Source organism: Homo sapiens, chromosome 19 (assembly GCF_000001405.40).
Source record: "Homo sapiens chromosome 19, GRCh38.p14 Primary Assembly".
In the NCBI taxonomy this organism is placed as follows: Eukaryota; Metazoa; Chordata; class Mammalia; order Primates; family Hominidae; genus Homo; species Homo sapiens.
Window position 1 is genome coordinate 48,252,138 of NC_000019.10, and position 10,635 is coordinate 48,262,772.

Below are 10,635 nucleotides of genomic sequence, written 5' to 3' on the forward strand. Positions count from 1 at the left end.
TCTCAGGGAGCATTCAATGGCTGATCTCAAACCCCATACTTTCTTCTGCAGCTGGGAAGTCTCCATGATGACTTTTGTGGAGAAAAAGTCATGCAGTTATTGAGCAATTGAATTAGGGCTAGTTTGAATTGAGGTGTATCATAAATTTAAAAAGCATTCAGGTTTTGAAGTCAATATAAATAACAGTATATAAATATTATCTTAATAACTTTCACATTGCTGACAAGTTTAAATTATGACATTTTGGGTAAAACGTATGTATATGTTTTGTTATGTTTACATATATATGCATATTTAAATAAAATACATATACACAAATATGTAAGTAAAACATATGTAAGAATATATATAATATATATAATTTTTTTTTTTTGAGACAGAGTCTTGCTCTGTCACCCAGGCTGGAGTATGCAGTGGTGTGATCTCAGCTCACTGCGGCCCCCACCTCCTGGATTCAAGCAATCCTCCCACTTCAGCCTTCCGAGTAGCTAGGATTATAGGTGTGCACCACCATGCCTGGCTAATTTTTTTGTATTTTTTAGTAGAGACAGAGTTTCCCCACGTTGGCCAGGCTGGTCTAGAACTCCTGACCTCAAGTGAACCGCCTGTGTCAGCCTCCAAAAGTGCTAGGATTGTAGGTGTGAGCCACCGCACTGGCCTTATCAGTATATACACACACACACACACACACACACACACATATGTGTATACATATACAACTACATAGGTATTTTTAAACTAACTGTATCTGCTTGTTTTTGCTTTTTTAAATGCAGTTGCTAGAAAATTTAATATACATTTGGGGCTTGGATTATATTTCTGTTAAACTGCACTGCTCTATGGCACTTCTTGTATTCATTCCACAAATACATTTTGCACATGTTCCTTATTCTTGGTACTATTTAATGGGTTGGACATACATCCATGATCTAAACAGATAAAACATAATAGCACAAGAGATTATACAGAATGTTTGTGGTACAGGAAAACGTATATGTACACATGATAGGAGCTAAAAAGAATAGGACTGGTTAAGAGAATGTGGTGTGTGAGAGTACAGGTGCAGGGAGCTGCAGTGACTGGGATTACAGGTATGCATCACCATGCCTGGCTAATTTTTGTATTTTTGTAGAGACGGGGTTTCACCAATTTGGCCAGGCTGGTCTCGAACTCCTGGCCTCACGTGATCCACCTGCCTCAGCCTCCCAAAGTGCTGTAATTACAGGTGTGAGCCACCGTGCCTGGCCAACATTTATCATTTTAAATACTCATCTGCAAAAATGTTTCCAAGTGGGGCCACTTCCCCACCCCTCATATGACAGTGGCAGTGATATACCATATACATGGTTATTAAAAAGAATCTGGAGCAACAATATGAATGTCAGACAAATTAGGCTTCAAGAGCATTTCCCTCCATCTTACAGGGGATAAACCCAAAGAAGTTATATTAAGATTCCAATAAAAGAATGCAAGATGACTATCTGTGTAAAAATGTAATCAATGGGGAGCAGGTGCACCTCCAATAATATTAGACAAAATATATTTTACCTAAACAGCATTACTAAGTATAAAGTAGATCACTTCAATAAGAATAACAATTTTAATTTTGTGTATACATATTCACACTTTCAATATGTATATAGTATACACGGGTAGAATGATAAACAGATATAGAATAATCCTCCACTCTTGTGGGAAATCTGTTCAATAGTCTTTCAGCAATTAACAGAATAACAGAGTATCAGTAAAGATATAAAAAATTGACCAAAGCAATTCATATTCTTGACTTAAGTGCCCTAGAATAACAACTCACACAGCCATTGAAGAATCCCCATCATCCTATCTCAAGCATAGAGGAAACACATAGCATACATATGTAGCCACATAGCAAACACAGAAATGACTATCAACAAAGTGGAAGAGTTTAATGCACAGATTAAGTTATCTGAATATATGTACAATGAGTTATAAATAATAAATAATTGAGCCAGGTGAAGTAGTACATGCCTGTAATCCCACCTACTTGGGAGGCTGAGGTAGGAGTTTGAGCCCAGGAGTTTGAGTCTGGTCTGGGCAGCATTGCAAGATCCCATCCCCCAAATAATAAATAAACTAACTAAGTAATCAATAATTGAATGAGAAAAGTTAGCTCATATTTCAATATGTTCAATCTTAGGATATATACTTCTAGGCAACCACTTAGTGACAAAAATTCTGTAGAAATCCATCATTGAAAGTTCATTATGTAAATAAATGTGAAGACTAGATAAGAACCACAGAACACAATGACATTGGAAAAAATGCCACAGTAATTCTTTGAAAAAAGAAATGCAGGCCTGGTGCGGTGGCTCATCCCTGTAATCCCAGCACTTTGGGAGGCCGAAGTGGGCAGATCACAAGTCAGGGGTTCGAGACCAGCCTGGCCAACATAGTGAAACCCCGTCTCTACTAAAAACACAAAAACAATTAGCTGGGTGTGGTGGTGGGCACCTGTAGTCGCAGCTACTCGGGAGGCTGAGGCAGGAGAGTGCTTTCAGAGAAACTTCTTGATCACAAGGGGAAATCTGAAAGTTGTCAGAACAAAATGGAGTCACTTATGTTAAGATAACCCTGACAAATAGAGCCAGGAAGGCCATGAAGAGAGGGCTCTTATCCTTGCATGCCTGAAGATGAAAAAGACTCTACAAAACCCACAACCTTACATAAAGGTCTTCACAACCTTAAAAAAATATATATTTCTGCAAGGAATGCTGCCCAGCAACTGCTGGTCCAACCTAGGACTAATGTCACCCTTGTTACTGATCTTTGTAGCCAAGGAAAATTCTGTTAAAACAATATGCAATCCTCCCCATTTCTGTCTTCCTTTATCTCCCTGAATATACACATAGTTTAATACGGCATGTCTATTCCCAATTGCAATGCTCTATTCCCAAATAAACATTGTTTCCGGCTGGGCGCAGTGGCTCACGCCTGTAATCCCAACACTTTGGGAGGCCAAGGCGGGCTGATCTCGAGGTCAAGAGACGGAGACCATCCTGGCCAACATGGTGAAACCCCGTCTCTACTAAAAAATAAAAAATTAGCTGGATGTGGTGGTGCACGCCTGTAGTCCCAGCTACTTGGGAGACTGAGGCACGAGAATCGCTTGAACCTGGGAGGCAGAGGTTGCAGTGAGCCAAGATCATGCCACTGTACTCCAGCCTAGCCACAGAGCGAGACTCCATCTCAAAAAGAAAAAAAAATTGTTTCCCTTAGGAAGCTTTCATATGTTTGTTAGTTAGGTTAACACTTCTAATAATTAAAGTTATACAGTTACAGTGTAAAATTATTAGTATTAACAACATAAACATTGGTATAAAAATTATTATTACAGAAATTAAAACAAATTGAGTGTGAGAGAGATTATTAAGACTGTCCAAGCCAAGTCACTGAAGTCATAAATTTAAGTTATGACAGGATGCCGAGCTTCCAGAGGGTTTTGTTTTTAACAAGGGAGGGGCCCTATTTCCCCTTCTGACACGCTCATATGAACTTCTCACTTTGTCGTACTCCTTCCTTGCTGACTAAGAGGAACAGAACACAGAGCAGCCTGGCGGTGTCCTACCAACAAGCCTCCGTTTCTCCTTCCTGTACACTAGGGCTCCTGAAACTCACCTGGTAAGCGCTCCAGAAAAGCAGCAGGTGGTGACTTTAGGGTAGGACGGGCCAAATGGGAGAATCCCCTTAGGTCGGTTTCTCTGGTTCTCAACTTCTTTTGAAATAACGCTCGCAGAGGAGGTGGGCTTTCTGAGAACTGAGGGAAGTAAGCTCTCAGGACTTCCGGTCGCCATGATGGCTGTGGGCAGTCAATGGGGTCAGTGCAAGCATCTGGGCCATCTTTAATGTGGGCAGGAAAAAAACACGATTACACTTACTTCTGCAGAGTTTATAATATCCTTGTTCATTATTTAAAATAAAATATCTAAGACATAGGTAATAGTATATTTTAAATAAAATTGAAGCAATATATGAAATTTCTCTGGAATTCATCCAGCCACTCTCAGCTGTTACCACTATCCAGAAACGTCTTAATCCGCCTGCATGATTTATGTATTTGGTTTGTATTTTAAATATCATTTTCTGTAATATTTAAAAGTTGTATTTGCTTGGTATCCTGCTATGCATTCTCATGCAATTTGATTTTTAATCAATATTACTTTTTTTTTTTTTTGAGATGAAGTCTCCGTCTGTCACCCAGGCTGGAGTGTAATGGAGCAATCTCGGCTCACTGCAACCTCTGCCTCCCAGGTTCAAGCGATTCTCTTGCCTCAGCCTCCCGAGTAGCTGGAATTATAGGTGCATGCCACCACGCTCGGCTAATTTTTTGTATTTTTAGTAAAGACGGAGTTTCACCATGTTGGTCAGGATGGTCTCCGTCTCTTGACCTCGAGATCAGCCCGCCTCGGCCTCCCAAAGTGCTGGGATTACAGGCGTGAGCCACTGTGCCCGGCCTTGGTTTCTAAATACTATTTTGAAGTATCTGTGGAGAAATGGTTACTTCGAGGGCTGGGGCAGGAATATATAAGATAACATTGGAACAAATTCTGACGCCAGAACATGAAGAAATATTTGAAAAAGGATGGGGCATATTGACTGAACACAGAAGACAAACATGCATGACCTCAGCCTAATCGTGAGAAAACATCAAAGAAATCCAAATTGATAAACATTCTGTAAAATAATTGGCCATGCTCAGCAAAAGTGTCACAATCACAAAAGACAAGGGAAGAATAAGAAACGGTCACAGCCTGGAGGAATCTAAGGACATAACAACTGAGTGCAATGTGAGATCCTCGATTCGATCTTGGAGAAGAAAGAGGACGTTAAGAGAAATATTGACAAAATTCAAATAAGGTCTGCACATTAGGTAATGGTAAGATACGTTGACATCAATTTCCTGGTTGGATACTTGTATTACATATACTATTATGTATATAATTATTATATTACAATTACATATACAGTTGTATATTATATATAATACAATAAATGTATATATATGATTATAATACAATAAATGTATATATACAGTTTTATATATAACAACTATTATACATATAATACAATTATATATATAGCTAACATCAGGATAGGCTGGTTGAGGATTTATATGAATCTTTGCTAATTTTGCATGTTTAAAATTATTTCAACATAAAAAAATTATATGGGTCATGTAGTTTTTTGTGCAGTTTAATTCTAGGCACCATAGTTTCTGTTTTAATGGGTGTATTTTCTTCTTTCAAGGAATTGGGATAGTCTGTTGTATTAAAAACCTATTCATTTTTGTACATTAAGATTCTTCTGGCCAGGCGCAATGGCTCAAGCCTATAATCCCAGCACTTGGGAACCTGAGGCAGGCAGATCACCTGAGGTCAGGAGTTCAAGACCAGCATGTCCAACATGGTGAAACCCCATCTCTACTAAAAATACAAAAAAAATTAGCCAGGCATGGTGGCACATGCCTGTAATCCCAGCTACTTGGGAGGCTGAGGAGGAGACTCACTAGAACTCAGGAAGCAGAGGTTGCAGTGAGCCAAGACTGCGCCACTGCACTCTGGCCTAAGCAACAGAGGGAGACTCCATCTCAAAAAAAAAAAAAGATTATTTCTCTAACTTACTGGTTTATCTTTTATAGCTTATTTCAGGTGATTTGTTGTGTTTGTCTATAGAGTAAAATAACATGTCTAATGAGTTATAATTTAATGTCCTTCCATTCAATCACTGTATTTCAAATTTATTCCAATATTTTGGAATAAGCTTCCAATATTTTAACTTAAATAGGGAAGGTCATACTTGGTATTTTCCTGACCTCAGCTGGAATGCCTTCATAGTGTTCACATGAACACATTTGGCCTGAGAGAGACTTATTATGCCGAGAATGTGTGTAACCCTTTTTACTTAGGAATTGTGGGTGGAGTTTTTCCCCCCGCCCAAGAATGATTGTTAATTTCCGTCCATCATTTTCCTTTGATTGTTCTTCATCTCGAAAACAAATAATAAAATAATAAAATAAATAAATAAAACTTACTGGTCTTCTCACCTATTTTCTTGCAGTGCCTTTAAGCAATGCTCTGCCAATATCTTTTTCTTAATTATTATGGAATGCATGGGACCGTTCCATGCCTGATTATATGCAGAATGTTCTTTCTACAAGTGAGTTTTTGTAGTATTTCTGTACTCTGCCATACTAGGGCATTTCTCTGTTTTCAAGGATCTCCCAACCACACCGCCTCTACCACATTTATCTCCTGCTCAGCCTCCACTCCAACTGCCCAGACCTCACAGCTCTTGTATTCAAACTCTATCGATAAATCACCGAGTATGAGGCTTTACTCACAGGAAATTACTCTTCTGGCACTTCCTGACTTCTTTATGTTTTCTCACTCTGCACTTCCTCCCTGTTCCTCCGCTATGCTTCACCCTGACTTAACACAGTTTTGTCAGCCAGTGAGAAACATGTGGATCTGTGAATTCTATCTGTCTCCTCGTTATTCTGAAAATGGAGTTTGCATGGACTTTTCCGTTCACCTTATTGCTTTCATTGATACTCAGTAATAGACAAGATAAACTGTTATTTCTCATTGCCTTGTTCATTTCAGAAGTACCAGGTAGAATTTTACAATTCTTGCCTTGATACATATTCCCAGTAATTGTTGAGTGATTTAATTGTATGTTGTCTTGATATTACTTTGGTCATATATTACATTATTTCTCATTTTTGAATATCTGGATTTACATAAATTCTGTGTAATTCAGGTTTGTATTTATCCAAGTTCTCAGAAACTACAACTGCTGTAATTGATCATAACTCTCCTAATACAGGTGTAACTAAAGTGAGAGATGCTTTTTGACTCATGAAAAAAAGAAGACTGTAGACCAAGTCTCAATAACTTCCACTTAATCCTATAGAAAGTTAGCCAAGATAATGTACACCTTCTTTAAGATTCTTATAAGGAAAAGATTCCATTTTGTTTCTTGAAATGAGGTATTGCTTTGTCGCCCAGACTGGAATGCAGCGGTGCCATCATAGCTCACTGCGACCTTAAACTCCTGGGCTCAAGGGATCCTCTCACTTCAGCCTCCCGAGTAGCTGGGACTACAGGCACAAACCACTGTGCCTGGCTTCATGAGAAAAAATTAAATATATAATGGTACTAGGTAAAATAATACTAAATAAGAAGTAATTTGAATGCATACTATATTAACTCTGGAATAACGATACTTAAGTAAAAGAAAAGTGTTCGTTACAACAAAGGGAAGCTTGTAGTTCAGAGGATAGCTAAATTAAATTTGTTGCAGGCTGTGAGAGACATAACAAACATAAACACATGAAATATGTAGATTTTTATATTTTTATTGAAAATTGGATAGAAATATTTGGTTTGTTCAGTTGGAACATGTGAGTTGATTATTATGCATATAAATAAACAGACATTCAGTGTAGGGGCCAGCCCTACAGGGTCTGTGGGTCTTTCTCCCGTTGTGCGGAGACGAGAGATCGTAGAAATAAAGACACAAGACAGAGAAATAGAAGAAAAGACAACTGGGCCCGGGGGACCACTACCACCAAGATGCGGAGACCAGCAGTGGCCCCGAATGCCTGGCTGTGCTGATATTTATTGGATACAAGGCAAAAGGGGCAGGGTAAGGAGTGTGAGTCATCTCTAATGATTGATAAGGTCACATGAGTCACGTTTCCACCGGACAGGGGGCCCCTCCCTGTTTGGCAGCCCTGGTGGAGAGAGAGAGGAGACAGCTTATGCCATTATTTCTGCATTTCAGAGACTTTTAGTACTTTTACTAATTCTGCTACTGCTATCTAGAGGGCGGAGCCAGGTGTACAGAGTGGAACATGAAAGTGAAACAGGAGCGTGACCGCTGAAGCACAGCATCACAGGGAGCCGGTTAGGCCTCCGGATAACTGCGGGCGGGCCTGACTGATGTCAGGCCTTCCACAAGAGACGGTGGAGCAGAGTCTTCTCTAACTCCCCCGGGGAAAGAGAGACTCCCTTTCCTGGCCCACTAAGTAACGGGTGCCTTTTCTAGGCACTGACGCTACCGCTAGACCAAGGTCCGCTAAGTAACAGGTGCCTTCCCAGACGCCGGCATTACCGCTAGACCAGGGAGCCCTCTAGTGGCCATGTCTGGGTGTGACAGAAGGCTCGCACTCTCGTCTTCTAGTCACTTCTCACCGTGCCCCTTCAGCTCCTATCTCTGTATGGCCTGGTTTTTCCTAGGTTATGATTGTAGAGCGAGGATTATTATAACATTGGAATAAAGGGTAATTGCTACAAACTAATGATTAATGATATTCATATATAATCATATCTATGATCTAGATCTAGTATAACTATTCTTATTTTCTATATTTTCTTTATTATACTGGAACAGCTCGTGCCCTCGGTCTCTCGCCTCGGCACCTGGGTGGCTTTCCGCCCCACAACTCAGGTGTTGCAGATAAATTCATTGGTGGTAAAATAAAACGTTTGTATAGGGTTTTGGAATTCAAATCTTTAAAATCACTTCTCTGAATTTCCATTAGATGATTATTGCTACCAATAAAATTTTAGTAGGTAAACACAACCACCTTCTAAGAACTTAGAACTCTCAGACTGGGCACGATGGCTCACGTCTGTAATCCCAGAACTTTGGGAGGCCAAGGCAGGCAGATCACCTGAGGTCGGGAGTTCAAGACCAGCCTGAGCAACATGGAGAAACCCTGTCTCTACTAAAAATACAAAATTAGCCAGGTGTGGTGGCGCATGCCTGTAATCCCAGCTACTCAGGAGGCTGAGACGGGAGAATTGCTTGAACCTGAGATCGCGCCATTGCACTCCAGCTTGGCAACAAGAGAGAAACTCCGTCTAAAAAAAACAAAAAAGAACTTAGAACTCTCCAATATTAAATGGCCAGTTCCCTCAGAATAAAAACAAACCAAAATATTGCAACCAAAGTGAACTTTGAATAATTAATTCAATTGTTACACTTTCTTCTTAAGTTGTGAAGAACTTCAAAATGACGTGACTATATAACAATAGTGAGATGCAAACAAAGAACAAAAACTACCACAAAAGAAATTGTGAATTTCATTCAGCAGCTTTACTGTTAGTCTTAATATGGTGCTTATTAGGAGTTGGTTTTGCATTGCTCAGTAGCAGAGATATAATTACAGCTTGTTTTATGTGGTAATATAATATAAAAGTATACCCTCTCTAGCCTTGTCTACTGACAGAATTACGTGCAATGTCACAGCAAGAGCCTGATGTATCTGCCCAGAATTCTTGTTTTGATCTGTAAATCTCTAATAGTAATTGTGAAGAGCTCAACTCAGTATGGAAACTGATCTGGTCACGCATTTTTTTTCAGCATCTTAAATAAACAGCACAGAGTCTGAGGCCACACTATGCTGGACACACTGTAATCGCACAAACAAAATTGTAGGGCTTTGTTCCAAGATGGTGTTAAGACTTGATCTATGGATAAGATCAACTTGTGGGTGATTCAGAGGTGCACCCACTAGTTCCCTGCAACCAGAAATGGTAAACCTACTTGTCTGTTTAAAGATGCTTGAAACAATATTGCAGAGAGAGGATGGTGAGACAGTGGAGTGCTGTATGATGGTGAGTGTTAAACACAATTTGATTTATTAAAATTAAGTTGCATTCCTTGGATACAAATAGTTCGTTTTAAAAAATAGGCAGAGTATTACACTATTTTTTTTATTTATTTTTTGTTCTGAAGACAGAGTCTCACTCTGTCACCCAGGCTGGAGTGCAGTGGCAAGATCTCAGCTCACTGCAACCTCCGCCTCCTGGGTTCAAGCAATTCTCCTATCTCAGCCTCTGGAGTAGCTGGAATTACAGGCGTGCACCACCATGCCCGGCTAATTTTTGTATTTTTAGTAGAGATGGGGTTTCGCCATGCTGACCAGGCAAGTCTGGAACTCCCGGGCTCAGGCTATCCACCTGCCTCAGCCTCCCAACATGCTGAGATTACAGGCCTGAGCCACCGTGCCCGGTCACCCCATTTTAATATATTTAATAAAACCAAATAGTCAAAAAGTTAAGATGGATTATTTATGGGTGTTTGGATTTTGAGCAATTTGTAATTCACTAATTTTCTTTTCTGTTATCCAAAGTGTCTACAATGCTATTAATAATATCTATTTTTACCACTATATAAAAATTAATCTTCAAAAATTACAATAAGATATCACTTTACACGTACTAGAATGGCCATTTTTAAAAGGCCCATAATAACAATTATAGGTGAGGATATGGAGAAGCTGGCCCCCTCCTACACTGCTGGTGGGAATGGAAATTGGCGCTTTGGAAAACAGTCTGGCAGTTCCTTGAAGGGTAAACATAGAGTTACCATATGACCCAGCAACTCCACTCCTAAGTATGCACCCAAGAGAAGGAAATAATCTGTCCACATGGAAATTCGTACCTGAATATTCACAGTATCATTTTTCATAACAGCCCCAAAGTGGAACTCACCCAAATGTCTATCGTCTGCTGAATGGACAGAGAATACGTGGTGTCTCCATACGGTGGAATATTATTCAGCCATGAAAGCAAAGGAGGTGCTGTTATG

The 10,635-nt window shown here is 39.7% G+C and overlaps 1 protein-coding gene and 1 long non-coding RNA gene across 16 annotated transcripts in view, besides 3 other annotated features; one reads left to right on the forward strand and one right to left on the reverse strand.

Annotated features, from left to right (window-relative positions):
• CARD8 (caspase recruitment domain family member 8) overlaps window positions 1–3,809 on the reverse strand; it is a 52,799-nt gene extending 48,990 nt beyond the window's left edge. For 14 of the 15 annotated variants that reach the window (NM_001351787.2, NM_001351791.2, NM_001351788.2 and 11 more), the window contains exon 1: window positions 3,655–3,775. The gene's annotated coding sequence lies outside the window, so the exon portion shown is untranslated. Of the gene's footprint in view, window positions 1–3,654 lie in introns of all 15 variants that reach the window. The other variant, NR_147707.1, reaches the window with a different exon arrangement.
• On the forward strand, window positions 3,538–6,057 carry CARD8-AS1 (CARD8 antisense RNA 1). The gene is made up of 2 exons (NR_040599.1): window positions 3,538–3,657; window positions 4,214–6,057. It is a non-coding gene; the product is annotated as a CARD8 antisense RNA 1 (long non-coding RNA).
• Window positions 3,644–3,883: an enhancer, noted in NCBI's record as "active region_14874". NCBI's record gives its function as "activates an Ori minimal core promoter by ATAC-STARR-seq in GM12878 lymphoblastoid cells {active_cell/tissue: GM12878}" and the evidence as "EXISTENCE:reporter gene assay evidence [ECO:0000049][PMID:35858748]".
• Window positions 7,798–7,997: an enhancer, noted in NCBI's record as "active region_14875". NCBI's record gives its function as "activates an Ori minimal core promoter by ATAC-STARR-seq in GM12878 lymphoblastoid cells {active_cell/tissue: GM12878}" and the evidence as "EXISTENCE:reporter gene assay evidence [ECO:0000049][PMID:35858748]".
• Window positions 7,970–8,150: a silencer, noted in NCBI's record as "fragment chr19:48763364-48763544 (GRCh37/hg19 assembly coordinates)". NCBI's record gives its function as "represses an EF-1alpha promoter that drives an FKBP-Casp9 reporter gene in an ReSE screen in phorbol 12-myristate 13-acetate-treated (for megakaryocytic differentiation) K562 erythroleukemia cells {active_cell/tissue: K562(+PMA)}" and the evidence as "EXISTENCE:reporter gene assay evidence [ECO:0000049][PMID:32094911]".